This window comes from Homo sapiens, chromosome 15, assembly GCF_000001405.40.
Source record: "Homo sapiens chromosome 15, GRCh38.p14 Primary Assembly".
NCBI classification, from domain to species: Eukaryota; Metazoa; Chordata; class Mammalia; order Primates; family Hominidae; genus Homo; species Homo sapiens.
In genome coordinates, this window is record NC_000015.10 from 65073956 (window position 1) to 65091017 (window position 17062).

The 17062-nt window shown below is 53.9% G+C and overlaps 2 protein-coding genes across 3 annotated transcripts in view, besides 4 other annotated features; one reads left to right on the plus strand and one right to left on the minus strand.

The window, feature by feature from the left end:
* Positions 1 to 2712, minus strand: part of RASL12 (RAS like family 12) — a 31088-nt gene extending 28376 nt beyond the window's left edge. The window contains exon 1 of one of the 2 annotated variants that reach the window (NM_001379429.1): positions 2574 to 2712. In NM_001379429.1, the coding sequence (NP_001366358.1) occupies positions 2574 to 2643 (70 nt within the window). In that variant the 5' untranslated portion in view covers positions 2644 to 2712. The remainder of the gene's footprint in view (positions 1 to 2573) is intronic. The other variant, XM_011521660.4, reaches the window with a different exon arrangement.
* KBTBD13 (kelch repeat and BTB domain containing 13) lies at positions 2791 to 5993 on the plus strand. Its single transcript, NM_001101362.3, has one exon. The coding sequence runs from the start codon at positions 2861 to 2863 to the stop codon at positions 4235 to 4237; it is 1377 nt and encodes a 458-aa protein (NP_001094832.1). The 5' UTR covers positions 2791 to 2860; the 3' UTR covers positions 4238 to 5993.
* Positions 10862 to 11387: an enhancer, noted in NCBI's record as "H3K27ac-H3K4me1 hESC enhancer chr15:65377155-65377680 (GRCh37/hg19 assembly coordinates)". NCBI's record gives its function as "activates a minimal SCP1, AML or CMV promoter by ChIP-STARR-seq in primed H9 embryonic stem cells {active_cell/tissue: H9 hESC(primed)}" and the evidence as "EXISTENCE:reporter gene assay evidence [ECO:0000049][PMID:30033119]".
* Positions 11916 to 12441: an enhancer, noted in NCBI's record as "H3K4me1 hESC enhancer chr15:65378209-65378734 (GRCh37/hg19 assembly coordinates)". NCBI's record gives its function as "activates a minimal SCP1, AML or CMV promoter by ChIP-STARR-seq in primed H9 embryonic stem cells {active_cell/tissue: H9 hESC(primed)}" and the evidence as "EXISTENCE:reporter gene assay evidence [ECO:0000049][PMID:30033119]".
* Positions 12627 to 12866: an enhancer, noted in NCBI's record as "active region_9592". NCBI's record gives its function as "activates an Ori minimal core promoter by ATAC-STARR-seq in GM12878 lymphoblastoid cells {active_cell/tissue: GM12878}" and the evidence as "EXISTENCE:reporter gene assay evidence [ECO:0000049][PMID:35858748]".
* Positions 13107 to 13748: an enhancer, noted in NCBI's record as "H3K4me1 hESC enhancer chr15:65379400-65380041 (GRCh37/hg19 assembly coordinates)". NCBI's record gives its function as "activates a minimal SCP1, AML or CMV promoter by ChIP-STARR-seq in naive H9 embryonic stem cells {active_cell/tissue: H9 hESC(naive)}" and the evidence as "EXISTENCE:reporter gene assay evidence [ECO:0000049][PMID:30033119]".

Consider the following 17062-nt stretch of genomic DNA (forward strand, 5'->3'; position numbering starts at 1 on the left):
CCCAATTCCTTTTCCCAGGATCTGGAGCCTCGCAGCAAGTGTGGAATTCCCATCCCCATCCCAAGTCAGGGGCTTTATGGGATGCTCATCTGCAAAGCAGGGTTGCTACCTTTCCCATTTTTCAGGAAGAAAATTGAGACTCAAAAAGAGATTGGACTGGCTCAGAGTCAGAGTCAGAAGCCCAAGCCAAATTAAAACCCTGGTCCTGTACCCCAGCCTGGCCCAATGTACTTGCTCCATTTCTGCCTTGTTCTCCAACCTGCCTGTCCCACTCCTCTGAGCTGAAGGGGTGAGGTGGGTATTCATTCTGCCCCAGCTTCTTCCTAGCTGAATGACCCTGGACAAGTTACCTAAAGTCTTTCAGCCTCAACCGGGATATTTCGGATACTGTCCCATGACTGTGAAATAGGTGTTATTATTGGCCCCATTTTATTTTTTAATTAATTTTTTTTTTTTGAGACAGATCCTCACTCTGTTGCCTAGGCTGGAGTGCAATGGCACGAGCTCGGCTCACTGCAACTTCAGCCTCCCGAGTTCAAGCTGTTCTCGTGCCTCAGCCTCATAAAGTAGCTGGTATTACAGGCACGTGCCACCACGCCCGGCTAATTTTTTTGTATTTTTAATAGAGACGGGGTTTCCCCATGTCGGCCAGGCTGGTCTCAAACTCCTGACCTCAGGTGATCAACCATTCTCGGCCCCCAAAAGAGCTGGGATTACAGGAATGAGCCACCGTTCCTGGCCTACTGGTCCCATTTGGAACATGAGGAACGGTTAGGACATTCGCACGAGGGCACACAGCTGGAAAGATGCAGGTGAAATGGGTATCTCCCTAGCAGCCCTCAGTGCGCCCGCACGCTGCAGGTGCACGGTATATGGTCACTATTATTGAGAGGTGACAGCATGCTGGCAGTCCTCAGAGCCCTCGCTTGCTCTCGGCACCTCCTCTGCCTGGGCTCCCACTTTGGCGGCACTTGTGGAGCCCTTCAGCCCACCACTGCACTGTGGGAGCCCCTTTCTGGGCTGGCCAAGGCTGGAGCCCACTCCCTCAGCTTGCAGGGAGGTGTGGAGGGAGAGGCGCGAGCGGGAACCGGGGCTGCGTGTGGCGCTTGCGGGCCAGCTGGAGTTCCAGGTGGGCGTGGGCTTGGCGGGCCCCGCACTCGGAGCAGTCAGCCAGCCCTGCTGGCCCCGGGCAATGAGGGACTTTGCACCCGGGCCAGTGGCTGCGGAGGGTGTACTGGGTCCCCCAGCAATGCCAGCCCACCGGCGCTGTGCTTGATTTCTCACCGGGCCTTAGCTGCCTTCCCGCAGGGCAGGGCTCAGGACCTGCAGCCCGCCATGCCTGAGCCTCCCATCCACTCCATGGGCTCCTGTGCGGCCCGAGCCTCCCCGACGAGCACTACCCCCTGCTCCACGGTGCCCAGTCCCATCAACCACCCAAGGGCTGAGGAATGCGAGCGCATGGTGCAGGACTGGCAGGCAACTCCACCTGCAGCCCTGGTGCAGGATCCACTAGGTGAAGCCAGCTGGGCTCCTGAGTCTGGTGGGGACGTGGAGAGTCTTTATGTCTAGCTCAGGGATTGTGAATACACCAATCGGCACTCTGTATCTAGCTCAAGGTTTGTAAACACACTAATCAGCACCCTGTGTCTAGCTCAGGGTTTGTGAGTGCACCAATTGACACTCTGTATCTAGCTGCTCTGGTGGGGCCCTGGAGAACCTTTATGTCTAGCTCAGGGATTGTAAATACACCAATTGGCACTCTGTATCTAGCTCAAGGTTTGTAAACACACCAATCAGCACCCTGTGTCTAGCTCAGGGTTTGTGAGTGCACCAATCAACACTCTGTATCTAGCTGCTCTGGTGGGGCCTTGGAAAACCTTTATGTCTAGCTCAGGGATTGTAAATACACCAATCGGCACTCTGTATCTAGCTCAAGGTTTGTAAACACACCAATCAGCACCCTGAGTTTAGTTCAAGGTTTGTGAGTGCACCAGTCGACACTCTGTATCTAGCTGCTCTGGTGGGGCCTTGGAGAACCTGTATGTGGAAACTCTGTATCTAACTAATCTGATGGGGACGTGGAGAACTTTTGTATCTAGCTCAGGGATTGTAAACCCACCAATCAGCGCCCTGTCAAAACAGGCCACTTGGCTCTACCAATCAGCAGGATGTGAGTGGGGCCAGATAAGAGAATAAACGCAGGCTACCCGAGCCAGCAGTGGCAACCCGCTCATATCCCCTTCCACACTGTGGACGCTTTATTCTTTTCCTCTTTGCAATAAATCTTGCTGCTGCTCACTCTTTTGGGTCCACACTGCTTTTATGAGCTGTAACACTCACCGTGAAAGTCTGCAGCTTCACTCCTGAGGCCAGCGAGACCACAAGCCCACTGGGAGGAACGAACAACTCCAGACACGCTGCCTTAAGAGCTGTAACACTCACAGCGAAGGTCTGCAGCTTCACTCCTGAGCCAGCGAGACCATGAACCCACCAGAAGGAAGAAACTCCAAACACATCTGAACATCAGAAAGGACAGACTCCAGACACGCTACCTTAAGAGCTGTAACACTCACCTCGAGGGTCCGCGGCTTCATTCTTGAAGTCAGACCAAGAACCCACCAATTCTGGACCCATTATTACCATTTCTTCTAAGGATATGAGTGATCACACAGGTCTCCAGATGCCCTCCGGGCCTGCAGCCATACAGCCTGCGGGCCACCACATCACATGAGCCATACTATCTTTAGCCAGGGAGAGATATTTATAGCCCCCAGGGAAGTTTTTTGCTCCAGGGGAGCCCCAGAGTTGGTGGCTGGCTAACCCAAGGCCCCAGCGGCAGCCTCCGCCCGGCCAGCTCGCCATGGCACGGGGTCCACAGACCCTGGTGCAGGTGTGGGTGGGCGGCCAGCTCTTCCAAGCCGACCGCGCCCTGCTGGTGGAGCACTGTGGCTTCTTCCGAGGCCTCTTCCGCTCCGGCATGCGGGAGACCCGCGCAGCAGAGGTGCGCCTGGGCGTTCTGAGCGCGGGAGGTTTCCGCGCCACGCTGCAGGTGCTGCGCGGCGACCGGCCGGCGCTGGCGGCGGAGGACGAGCTGCTGCAGGCCGTGGAGTGCGCCGCCTTCCTCCAGGCGCCGGCGCTGGCTCGCTTTCTGGAGCACAACCTCACGTCGGACAACTGCGCATTGCTGTGCGACGCGGCCGCCGCCTTCGGCCTGCGCGACGTGTTCCACAGTGCCGCGCTCTTCATCTGCGACGGCGAGCGCGAGCTGGCGGCCGAACTGGCGCTGCCTGAGGCCCGCGCCTACGTGGCGGCCCTGCGGCCCAGCAGCTACGCGGCCGTGAGCACGCACACGCCCGCGCCCGGCTTCCTGGAGGACGCCTCGCGCACGCTGTGTTACCTGGACGAGGAAGAGGACGCGTGGCGCACGCTGGCTGCGCTGCCCCTGGAGGCCAGCACGTTGCTGGCCGGGGTGGCCACGCTGGGCAACAAGCTTTACATCGTGGGGGGCGTGCGCGGCGCCAGCAAGGAGGTGGTAGAGCTGGGCTTCTGCTACGACCCCGACGGCGGCACGTGGCACGAGTTCCCCAGCCCGCACCAGCCGCGCTATGACACAGCGCTGGCCGGCTTCGACGGCCGCCTCTACGCCATCGGCGGCGAATTCCAGAGGACGCCCATCAGCTCCGTGGAGCGCTACGACCCAGCCGCGGGCTGCTGGAGTTTCGTGGCCGACCTGCCGCAGCCGGCCGCCGGCGTGCCCTGCGCCCAGGCTTGTGGCCGTCTCTTCGTGTGCCTGTGGCGGCCGGCCGACACCACCGCCGTGGTGGAGTACGCAGTGCGGACCGACGCGTGGCTGCCAGTGGCCGAGCTGCGGCGTCCGCAGAGCTATGGCCACTGCATGGTGGCCCACCGCGACAGCCTCTATGTGGTGCGCAACGGACCTTCCGACGACTTCCTGCACTGCGCCATCGACTGTCTCAACCTGGCCACGGGCCAGTGGACGGCGCTGCCCGGCCAGTTCGTCAACAGCAAGGGAGCGCTCTTCACGGCCGTGGTGCGCGGTGACACCGTCTATACGGTCAACCGCATGTTCACGCTGCTCTACGCCATCGAGGGCGGCACCTGGCGGCTGCTCAGGGAGAAAGCCGGCTTCCCGCGGCCCGGCTCCTTGCAGACCTTTCTCCTAAGGCTGCCTCCTGGCGCTCCTGGGCCTGTGACTTCGACAACGGCAGAACTGTGACCTCTGGGCTGGCTTTAGGAGGGAGGAGACGCCGCGACTCCTCCCTGAGCTATGGCTGAGTGTGTGAGGCCGGCCTTAGAAGTAGCTGGCAACTTCCCTCTTTCTACTGAGACACCCAGGTTTGGTGCCTTCTGGTGGTGTGGACATGTTCAAGAAGCTCAGGGAGCAGTGATGATGCCCTCAAATTACTTGGGCTCTGCTGAGAGCTGGTGGGTCACAATGTCAGTGAACAGGGTAGGGGGAGTTGGGATTTGAATAATCCGGGCTTATATGTAATGGGCTAGTGATTGAGCATCGCTGGGAGCGACTTAAATGATGTTAATCAAACTGCAAGTAGTAGGCAAGAATTAGGCACCTACTGTATGCCCAATACAGTGTTATGCGTAATGAGAGCCGTAGTTGCCACACAGGGATCCAGGAAGCTTAAAGGATAACCCAGAAAACAATCTTAACAGTTACAGGACAACAAAAAGGTTTACACACAACTTGATCCACAGAGTTGAAGGCAACATGCAAAAAAATTTAAAACCGCATACAATATAATAAAATAAAGTGCTGAAGAAATCAGGGCAAAGGGAAAATAGGAAGAGAAAAAATATATAACTCCAGAAAAGAAGAGAGTGTGCAAACTCTATGGAGGAGATGAGCAGGATACCATTAGCTGCTGAAAGGGGAGGCTTAGACCATGGAGGCTGAGAGCTCAGAAGAGAAGCAGGGTTGGGGAAGGCTGGAGCAGATGGGGAGGGTCTCTGCAAGTCCAGCCATACCAGCAGAGCAGCAGTAGTTGGGGCATCTAGAGAGGGGATGAGACTGGGCCAGCTTGCAGCAGATAATGACTGAGCTGAGCCTGGAGTGAGACCTGTGGGGGCGAGAGGATTCTTCACGTTCCTTTTTGGAACCCTTAGGGGAGCACCCAGGTGTAAGCCCTTGCCCACCCTGTTTTTGCCATCACCACGGGGCAGTGGACTGTTAACCCACATGACTTCAGGTCAGTTGAGGTATGAGCCAAATCCTGCCTCATCTTCCTCAGTTGTAGCCCCTCCTCCACATTCTACAGGTTTGTTCTCTTCCTGTCCTATTCTGCCCTTTGCAATTCCCTGGGCTGGAATGCCTAGTCTCCTCCTCTCTCCCTGTCAGTGCTCTACCATCCTCTGTGCAGCATTGGCTCACCCAGCTCTTCGTTTTCCTGACCTGGGCTGCCTGCATTGCTCATTGGACCCCTGGCTGTAACATCATTGTGTGTGCACAACCACGTGTGTGGATTGTAAGGGCAGAGATCCTGTTAAGTGAGCTGGGGGACTTCCCTGTCCCAGATTAAAATGATGATGCCTTGAAAGAACCCAGGCTACAGAGGCCACTAGTTAGGAACCTAGTGCTGACCTCTGTTGTTGGATGAGGACTCTCGTTCCTTCATCAAAATCCCCAGCTCTGGCTTCTGGGCAGATGCCTGTCCCAGCCCTTTCCAGCCTCTCCATGGCCTTGGGAAGACTTCTCTGGGTGGTTCTCATTGGTCTCCATCCCCCAGGACCTGAGGCCCATGGGGAATCTTGGCCTCGTCAGAAGTGGAGAATGCAGTGTCAGCATGACACCTCCGGGGCATGGAGGCTCGCGCCAGGGCTGCACCTAGCTGCCTCTTCTCCTGGCCTATGTCCCAACCCTGGAGAATGCTGCCCTCAGAAGCCTGGGACCTTCCAGCCCTGGAGTAGCCTAGTCTGATAAGTCTCAACAATAAACCCTGACTTTTGCATCTTGTGAATTATGTGCAAGGTACTTTCACATCTGACTTCCCCCTCCCGACCTACCTTGGGCCTGGGAGTTGGGTACCCTCTTCTTGTGGCAGAAACTGACCCACTGGCCCAAAGCCACACAGCATAGCAACAAGAGTTCCTCACTTGTAGTTCTATCAAAGTGTAATTCATTCATTCTTTTTTTTTTTTCTTTTTGACACAGGGTCTTGCTTTGTCAGTCTGGAGTACAGTGGTAAAATCATGGCTTACTGCAGCCTTAACCTCCTGGGCTCAGGTGATCCTCCTACCTTAGCCTCCCCAGTAGCTGGGACTACAGGTGCACACCACCACACCTAGCTAATTTTTATAATTTTTTTTTTGAGACAGAGTTTTGCTGTAGTTGCCCAGGCTGGGGTGCAATGGTGTGATCTCAGCTCACCCCAACCTCCACCTCCCAGGTTCAAGTGATTCTCCTGCCTCAGCCTTCCCAAGTAGCTGGGATTATAGGCATGCGCCACCAAGCCTGGCTAATTTTGTATTTTTAGTAGAGATGGGGTTTCTCCATGTGGGTCAGGGTGGTCTTGAACTCCTGACCTCAGGTGATCCGCCCACCTCGGCCTCCCAAAGTGCTGGGATTACAGGTGTGAGCCACCACGCCCGGCCAATTTTTATACAATTTTTTTGTAGAGGTGGAGTCTCACTGTGTTGCCCAGGTTGGCCTTGAACTCCTGGGCTCAAGCAATCCTCCTGCTTGGCTTCCGAAAGTTCTGGGATTACAGGCATGAGCCACTGTACCTGGCCTCAAAGTGTAATTCATATCACACATCAAAGATTTATTTAACTCACCTGTAAGAGAACCAAAAAGAATGGCAAAGCTGATTGAAAAGAGCATTTGAGAGACAGATTTGTATATTTAGTTGGAAGAGACATACTAAAATAAGTTTGCTAAGTTAGAGACAAAACTGGCATATGCCTTACAGGACAAAAGCATAATTTTTTTGGTTCTCTACTGAACAAAAATCCTTTGCATCTTTACATACATGCATGTACATATTTGTGCATATGCCTACAAGTTAGCATGTAACTTCACAAAGTCTGGGCTCTAATCTATAGTAAATTGTAAGGCAAAGGTACATTCCCCTTGAAAATTAAATAACTCTTCTCTGTTCAAAGTGTCCCAAAGTGACATTGAAAGGAAATAATCCTTCTTTTGCCTTACTTCCAAGTTACAGATAACTTTCATAACAGTACAGAGCATTTTCCTCCTTCCTCCTGACCAGTGCTGAACACCTGAGACTTGCCACATGATAATCCATCAGCTCCTAGTCTCTCTTATCCCACAGCATTGTCTGCACTTGGGGCTGCTTAGCCCCAGCCTGCTGGCTCCTGGCATTTGGTTGTTCCTCCCTTCATCCAGGGCAGCCCTTTCTGAGATGCCTTTTGTGCGTAATAATAACACAGTGTTCACAGAGAGCTTTCCCACAGTTGACTTACTTGAGCTTTTGAGAATTTTAAGTGGCAGATAGTTTGGCAACACCCCTACTCCCGCAGCTTAATGGAGGGAAAAAAGCTCAACGGTCATGTGATTAGAAGAGGCTCGTTAGGTAGTGGCAGAACCTGGCTGTGAACCCAGGGCCACAGGCTTGTCTTCTGTGCTACATGCCTGCTTGGCCGACATCCTGAGATGGACAGGGTGTTTCCAATGGTCTCCTTAACACTCCCTCCGTTTTGCCTTTCTCTATGTATCCCCACCTCTTTTGGGGGTTCGTTTGTTCCCTTGGACTCAGCCCTTTCTCTTCCCTCTTCCATAGGAAAGTTAACTAGTTCTCTTCCCTTAGGATAGACCTGGGAGACCAGTAGCCCCGTTCAGCCCAGGTAATGACTGGTTTAGGCCCTGGGGGATATTTGCACGTTCACTGATACTTCCCTCGTCTCAGGAAGTGTGGGGAAGCTTTGTAACCCAGCCCACCTTCTCTGTCTAAGGGTTCTCACAGTTAAGGCTTTGTTCCACCCACAGTCAGCATGTGTCACCACTGCCCACCACCCTCAGCAGGGATGGTGACTGTGCCTGGGGTGCCTGTGAGGAAACCAGCAGAAAGCCAGAATGGCTGGCTCACCCAGAGTCACACAGGCAGTTAAGTGGAAGAGCAGGGACTTGAACTCAGGACTTGGGATTCTCAGCCTCTCATTCCCCGGCATCTCGGCTTGACTATTGCATGAAGGTGTGGGGGGCACAAACCAGGTGCAGCTGGGCAAATTACAGAAACACTTAGGAGTTACTGAGCTCAGAGGGCTGGATTTGAAATCTCTCTGTCCCAGCCCAGAGGTTTACTCTGAGAAGTCCGTCCTTTCTGAGAGGCCTACACTCACACAGCTTAAAGCTGCAGGGATCATTTTCCTGAACCTGGTGGCAGCCCTGCAGCCCAACTCTCTGGAGTTCTCTCCAGTCTTCCACAAACGTTCTCCTTGCCCCTGACTCCAGATGTCCTGCACCCCAAGCCTTCCTCTCCCTGAAATCATCCTATGTGGTTTATATAGCCCGCCTGGCAGAGGCAGAGAAGCTGCCCCACCCCTGTCCACCAAGGACCTGCTTCCTTGCTGGCTTCCCTTCAGTGTGCTCACAGGGCAGCCAGAGCCATCCTAGTTCAACAAAATGCCAGTCAGAGCCTGGTGCGCCCCCTCTGAAAGGCAAAGTCCTTTCAGACTCTCCCACCCTGTTTCCTCCCTGACTTCATCTCCTCCCACTCCTCTCTGGCCTCATTGCTCCTCAGACGCACCAGGCACACTCCGGGCTCAGGGTGTGTGGCTGGTGTCCCTCTGCCTGCGCACTGCCTCAGCCCCACCCCACTTCCTGCAGGTCTTGGCTCAGATGTCACTTCGATCCTACAGACTCTCCTAACCTCCCTACTTAAAATCTACCTCCCCCTTCTCTACATGTTCTCCTCCCTTTTCCTGTTTTATTTTTCTGCATAGCTTTTAGCATCATCTTCCATGCTATCTTTTCACTTGTTTGCTGTTGGTTTTCTCCTACTAAAATTTGAGCTCCACGAAGGCAGAGGGTTTTTTCTGTTTTGTTCACTGCTCTCTCATCAGGACCCAGAAAAATGACTAGAACGTAGTAGGCAGCTTAAGAGATGATTTATTTAGTAGGGACTTAAGAAATATTTGTTGAATGAATGAATGGCACTCAACGGATGTTTGTTGAAAGAATGCATTAATGAATTGATCAGTCAATCAAGGAAACTCCATAGGAAAGGTACAGAGAAAGGCTCTCAGATTTCAGAGGACAGGAGTATCATTTCTGGCAGGGCTGTGGCAGGTGGCCAGGGAAGACTTTTCTGTGGAGGTGACGAGCTGTCAAGTTTGCAGTCCACCTTGGGAAGAGTGGGATCTGAAAAGAGCAGCCGCTCACCGGTCACTTTTCTTTCAAGGGAAGGGAGGAAGCTGGGATTAGAAATGCTAATCATCCCTTGAAGAATGGCTCCTCTTGGCGGCGGAATACACACAGGGCTGCTCTGTTTATTTTCCTTTGGCCTCAAGGAGCTGGGGCCTCTTTTTCATCCTAATTGCTTTGCTTCAAGTTGCTGTCACATCCCAGGAACGGCAGCAAATTAACTGTGCTGGTGGGAGACACAGCTGTCAGAAGACAGGCTGGCCCCAGCAGGCCAGTAATAGGCATGGGATACAGGACCCCCCTAGAGGAGGTCTTGTCCCAGCAGCGTCCTCTGCAGCCCTCATGATTCTGCCCCAGCTGGACTGGGGAAGCATGAAAAGAGGGAGCCCTTCTCTCTGGCATTCGAGTAACTAACAAAGGGAAAATGGGCCTTTTGTTGGGCTGCAGGGTCTTGGAGCAGGGTATAAGCCTCTAGTTCCACCCCTCTCTTCACAGGGAAGGAAAGCCAGGTCGCAGGTTAGGGGAAAGCAACTTTCCTGGAGACAAAGCAATGCAAGTGGACCACCCAACCTAAAGCCTGCTTCTCTGGAATCCTCCTCCCATCCTAACATGTTATTTCCTGTGCTGCCTTCCAGGGCACTCATGAAAGAGCTTCCCCATGGTGACCCATCATCAGGCTGCCCTCCCTGATTCCAGGCTTCCATCCTTATTTTTTCTAGGAAAGTTCCTCTACACACACACCCCATTCAGCACGCAGATTCAGCAGATGGAGACAAAGGAGTTAGTCTCTAATGGTATTTGGGCACCTGGGCCCTTCAGATCACACACTCATGCGTACACACACACAATTTTGCCAACTCTATAGGAGGTCAGAAACCATTCGCCCAACATGCTTCTCTTTCCAGGTAACATATTTTCATTCTAACAGGAGTCTTACAAAAATACGCCTAACTGCAAAGTCCTGATTAGCAAAGGTAATTTCAGGTGCTCAGAGAGGGAGCTAGCACTGGGTTGCGGTGGAAACGAGGGACTGAGGACTTTGTAGGTGCCACTCTGCAGAGGGACAGTGCTGCCTGCCTGCCAGCTGATTTTGCAGTCAAATGCTGGCTCTGACAGGGACTTCTGTTTGACCATGGGTAAATTCCTTAAAGTTGCTGAAATGAATGAAGGTGTCTCAACTCTAACCGGAGATGATAATTCCAGGAGGGTTGTCCTGAGAGTGAAATAAGAGCTTCTAGACCAGCATACGCAATCCTCACCTTCCAAGTTCCTTGCCCTGGTTCCTCTTCACACTTTCCCCTCCACCCATTATTGACACCCTTACTGTTTGGAAGGCACAGTTTTGGTGAATGGACTGTGTTCCAGCAGTCTGTGCTTATCGCTCATGACACAGCAGGATGGCATCCAGGGGACCTGGGTCCATATTCCAGCTCCACTTGCCAGCTGTGTGATGTTGGGCAAATGGAGATGATGATGAGAGACTGTTATAGAGTCTCTGTGCAGATTATGTGAAGTGCCTGTAGTGGGGCCAGAGAAATAGGCTGGAGTCTGAGTGTGAAGAGCCTTGAATGCCAGGCTGGAGAACTTGGGCTTTATTCTGTAGGAAGTGGGGAACCACAGTAAGTTTTTGAGGCAGTAAGTGTGACCGACAGAGCTGCTTTTTGTATTCAGATAGCAAGCCCCTCATCCAGCCCTGGGCTGACGGCTCCTTGTCCCTGCAGATCAGCTTGTCCCTCCAGATCAGCTCCTTTCTCCTGCTCCGCACCCCGAGAGGTGGTCCTGTCTGGGTGATATCACTGGACTCCCTTGACTGGCTCCCAGTACAGAGCAGCAGCAAAAGGTGGGAAGTGGGGAGGCGTATGGAGTCAGGGAACTTAGTTCCTGGCTCCCTCCCTGTGGGGTGATCTTGCACTGACCTTTTTCCTTCACTGACTCAAGTCCCCGCCACTGTCAGCTGGTCTTTTCCTTACAGCCGTCTGTCTCCAGGCTGAGGTGGCTGCCCCCTTCCCTCCTGCGCAGACGCAGGAGTGGTGAAGCCCCAAGCTCACTAGCCTGGTGCTATCCCTTAGGGGCCCTCCACCCTTTGTGAACAGCCTCTTTCCTCAACCCTCCTCTAGTGACCTGATTTGAGTGTGCCATCTCTTTCCTGTCAAGACCCTGCTGGACATGTGCCCTGTCCCCTCTGACCCTCAGCTCTCTGGGCTGTGTTACCAAGTGGCTTGGCTGGGGCACAGTGTACTGGAAAATGCCCATCTCAGTGCCTCTGCCTGATCACACAGTTATGGGAACCAGAGGAATGTCTTACAGGCAGAGGTGGCGCCTCCGTGACCGGAAGCCAGGGCCTTGCCTCCCAAGGCACTTGAATTTGAGGGGGAAAAGATTGACCTTTAGAAGCTCTCCGAGGAGTGGCTGGGAATGGAAACAGAACCAGATGGCATGAGCTCCAGAGTGCACAGCTTCTGTCACCCCCTCCCAAGTGAGGGGCCAGGCAGGCCTGCAGCCCCGGCCTCCACCACCCTGGCTGGACCGGACCATTACAAGATTTATCCAAGGGGTCCTGCAAGGTACATAGAGGGAGCCCTGGGGATCCTTGCTTCAGGCCCAGCCCTGCCACCTGTTTGCTGGGTGACATGGGGCTGGTTGCATCACCTTTCTGAGCCCCAGTTTGTATCTGTGGTTGAGATGTGTCTGGTGCATACATTTGCTGTGGGGTCAGGTGGGGGAACGTGTGTGCCGGCTCACTGTGAAGGGAGCCAGTGTAGTGGCAGGGAGGCTCCAGCTGCGGCTCAGACTTCCTGGATTCTAATCCAGTTCTAATACTTTCTGACTGTGTGATCTTGAGCAGTTGCTTAACCTCTCTGAGCCTCAGGTGGGCATCTGTCAGGACAGCAGAACCTAAACTGAAAGGGCTGTTGGGAGAGTAAATGAGAGAGAGCGCAGACAGGGCGTAGAGCAGAGCCTGGCTGTCAGTGTCAGTGAACCAGAAACCTCCCTGCCCTCAGGCATGGGCAGTGGAGTATCTTGGCGATAGCAGTCAGTCTGACTTCAGATGGAGAAGGCAATTAATGACTGCCTGGTGTAGTTGGGAGCCCCAAAGAGTTTTGGCCTTGAAAGGATCTCTCATCATTCCTCCTGATTAGGGCATTGTCTGCAGAATATGACTCTAGGGACAAAGGCTGGTGCCCCCTCTGGTGGAGGGAGGACAGTGCTTTGCTGGACAGGCAAGTGTGTGAGTCCTCTCACCTGTGCAGGCAGCCTCCCCAGCCCTGGGTCTGACTGAAGATCCAGATGCTAAGAACTTGGCATCCCTGTGACCCATGGGCCCCAGCTCTGTAACTGAGGTCCCTGCACTCCTGGGGAGCTAAAGACGCTTCTCTTAGGTTCAGTCTCCTACCTTGAACCCCCAAAACAGCTCTGGACTGCCTCTAGGCGGTCTCATGGGCCACCTGCCCCCACCAGGCCTGGGGTTGATATGACAAATCAAAGCTCCTCATCACAGGCACGGGGTGGTGGCTTCCTTGCCCAGCAGCACCCACTGCTCTCCTCAGAGTTCAATCTGCTCCACTGCCGAGTGTGGCCACTGCTGCTGGCCTGCTCAAGGACAGCAACGCACACTTGTCTCTGCTTGCCTTGCTGCCATACAAAAGGTGCCATGTGGTTTCCAAAGGAGCACAGCACAGGGGGTGTGAACCAGCTGGAACCTCACTCCCTTCCATGGGCACCAGGGGGCCTGTGCAGATCAACACCAGGACCCTCCCAGCAACGACAGGGATCCCTTCTTCAGCCCCAGCCCTGCAGTCCTTCCAGGCTCTGAAGTCTGGGTGCTGAGGAACGGGGGTGGCTGCCTTGTTTCTCGGAAATCACCTCACTAGTAGTCATCCCAAGTACTAGACCTTCCTTGAATCCCTTCTGGCGGGTCTTTCAGCTGGAGTTCAGTGACAACCCTTTGGAAGGCAGCTCGCTTTCAGCATGGGCCACTCCTCAGGTGACTCTCCTGGGCCCCCCTCTCCCCCCACTCTTTTTCTTATTCTTCTTTCAGCAAACACTCTGTGCACATCCTCTAACCAGAAGCTGTGCCAGGCGCAGGGGCAGAGAGACAAGCCAGGTTCAGCCCCTGCCCCCAGGGCCTCACAGTAGAGCGAAGGAGGCAGCCAGCTCCTGCAGCAGTTAGGACCACAAGGTGAGCTCCCTGATGGAGATAGCGTCCCTCCTGGTGGCAGCCTCAGCCCAGGGTTCCCTCATCCAGCTTAACATAACTTCCTGTAAGTTCACAGGGAGACAGCACACACTCTCTGCCCCACTTGACTGCCACTGCCTTTACTTATGTTCTCTTGCACTCAGCAGGGTGCTTTGGTTGTCAGCCAGGGAAACCTTTGGCTAAGTTCAGGAGAACAGGATCTTACTGGAAGGACTTTGGGTAGCTCAGTGCTCCCTGGGAAGGCCAGCACACCTGGCTGGAAATGGACAGTCCACAGCATCGGGAGCTGCACACAGTCCCACTGAGGCTGCCCCAGAACGTGTATACTCAAGATTCCAGCGCTCCAGCCCGGTGTTGGACTGGCCTTGTGTGGGCACCATGCGCTCACCCCCTAGACAGAGGACCACAGGGCACTCTAACAACACAAGAAGATGGCCCACAGCTGGGGGAGGGTCACCTCCCCCAACTTCAGTGGGTGTCACTTAAGGGGAAATGGCCCGCACAGGGCCTGCTGGAGTTCTTAGAATCGTTCAGCTGCTGGAGTATTTGGGATATGTGGCTAAGTCACACCCTGGGGCTGTCAGTCCTGGGTCCCTGGCTCCCAAGCACCCTGGCATTCATCCTTCTGCCCTCATCTGGCACCCAGTTAATGTCTCTGCTCAACCTGGAAACATTTTCTTAACGACAAAAAAATAAAATCATAAGTTAAAAATCTCGAGCAGTAAAACAGCAGATGACGTTGTGTGGGCAGCTGCCCAGAGGACACAGAACGCACGTCTCCTGAGCGGGTGGCCTTATAAGGACAGGTTCAGGAGGAGAATGGGCAGGAGGGAGGGCCACCCACCAGGAGAGTAGGAGGCTGGGGTAGTGGTGGGTGCCCCACCACTGGGCTGAGTGTGGAGCCAGCAGGGTGCCTGGCCAGGACCTGACTCCACAGAGGGACTTGGCTGCGTGCAAGAGCCAGAGGCCCTTGTGGGCCAAAGCCTGCCCGTCCCTCCGCCTTCACTGTGTCACTGCCAGCACAGGCACTGACCTGCTCTCAGCCAGCTGCCACGCAAACCCACCTGGCAGCCTCACCCTGGGAACCCCCTCCCTCCAGGGCAGGGGCCATTTCCTATCCTTCATCCCACCTTCCCCCACTCCTGGGCCCAGCAGGCCTAGCACCAGCTGGCATGACGTGCAGTAAAGGTTTGTGGGGTGACAGAATTAGGAAATGAAGGGTTCTCTGGTAGAAGTTTTGGCTCATCACCTGGGCTATAGCACCTGGAACTCAGGGCAGCGTCTTCTCTCCTCAGACGGCCCAACGTGGGGCTGAGGAGGTGGGTAGGGCTGGGCAGTCAGTTTTTGCCCTGCCCAGGATCACCTTTGTCCCCATTGTGAAGACACACATACCATCAACGTCCTCCTGATAGGGTGGAAGAGTTTCACTCCCCCGAGGTCAAAGTGTGTGTGTGTGACAGAATATGTGTGTTTCTGGGAGAGTCCTGATTGTCTCTGCACTTTTCTGACCCCAGCATCACTAGGATTAAAGACCTGGCCCTTGGGATCTGAGGGTGAGCAGAGGAGCGCCCCAGGAGGTCCTATACTGAGGGAAGGACTCTGGAAGCCTCCCCAAACCCTCATTTGGAAAGATCCTTCCCTGAGCTTCCTAAAGCCCCACGTTCCTCTCGGGGTGAGTCCTGCATAGACACAGAATGGATGGTCATTTGAAGAGAGCTGAGAAGGTCACGCCTTCCCTTTGACAGCTTGCACTGTACCTAAAACCCCATCATTTATGAGCCATTATCCTTAAATAAGCATTGCCTTGTCCCATAAGTTCTCTCTTAAAAGGCAAAGAGTGTTCCCTGCAGAGGTCAACAAAGGAATTCTTTAATCTCCAGATAAGACAGGAGGACAGAGCAGCTAGAGGCAGCCTAGGCAGCCTGGGCAGCATGGGGGATGGAGAGTGGAAGGAAAGGGCTGAGAGGGCAGGAGGGTCCCAGAAGAGGGAAGTGGCTCCTTACCTCAGTTGATCCTTGGAGGCCAACAGTGACCTGAGAGTGTGTTCCCTCCCCCCAGAGTGGAAGGGTCAGGGCTGATAGGAGGTGCTGGCAGCCCCTCAGCTGGCGCTGCTCCCATGCCAGAAGAATGTCATCAGCTGCGGAAGGTTGACTTGAGATGAAGCAAGAGAGCAGAGGTGAGAGAGGATCGGCGGCAGCTGTGTGTGCTGGAGCCTGCCTGGAGGCCCAGCCTTGTATAATACAAATACAAGACACAAGGAAACCCCCTGATACAATTGTCTGAAATGCCACCATTACACATATATTATTTTGGGTTAAGCAGTGCCTCTCTGTGGTAGGCTGAATAATGGCCCCCCAAAGACATCCACGTCCTAATTCCTAGAACCTGTGAATCTGTTACTTGGACTTTGTAGGTGTGATTAAGGATTTTTTTTTTTTTTTTGAGGTGAAGTCTCACTCTGTCACCCAGGTTGGAGTGCAGTGCTACAATCTCAGCTCACTGCAACCTCCACAATTCTCCTGCCTCAGCCTCCCAAGTAGCTGGGATTACAGGCACGCGCCACGACGCCCAGCTAATCTTTGTATTTTTAGTAGAGACAGAGTTTCACCATGTTGGCCAGGCTGGTCTCGAACTCCTGACCTCAAGTGATCCACCTGCCTCGGCCTCCCAAAGTGCTGGGATTACAGGTGTGAGCCACTGCACCCGGCCGTGATTAAGGATCTTGAGGTGGGAGATTGTTCTGGATTATCTGGGTGGGCCCAGTGGAATCACGAGGGTCCTTCTAAGAAGGAGGCAGAAAGTCAACCAGATAGAGGGCACTGTGCACATTTCCCCAGAAAGGGAACACCTAAAGGCCTTGAGATCTCAGCCCGAATGGGTTAGGAGACATCCCTCCTGTCAGAGTCAAAAGGCTGCCTTCAGCCTGCTCCACTGGGCCTCTGCGGGAACATGGTGGGGACCCAGAAGAGGAGACAAAGCATAAGGGGACAGGAGGGAGAGCAAGAACCAGGGCAGAACTCGCTTCATTCTCCTTACATGGGCCAGGCCTTGGCTTGCTCCTGGAACCTGGACCCTGCCATCCTCCTGACCTCCTCTCTGAGGGTCCTCTTGTCCAGACCATGCTTGAGTGTGTCAACTGCTGCTGTTTCAAGGACGCACCAAGGCAGCCACCTGATCCTTAGTATTAACTGTAAAGATTGTCCTTCTCCCAGGTGGCACTCCCAGAATCCTCTGCTCCAGCCAGATACCTTCGTTAACCCTGCTGACCTGAGAGGCAGCGAGTGGTTCTCCCAGGGTTTCTGAGTTTGATGATAAATGCTGGAGGTTTGTTAACCATAAAAGTGATGAGGAGGATGATCATAGTAAAGGTAATGATGATGGAATGAGGCAGGGTATAAATATGTATAAATAAGTGGCTACTGGATACCATGGCACAATCTTCCTGCACACTATCCTGCTCAATCATCACAACTGGAAAGTTTCAGTATCTGTATTTTATGGATAAG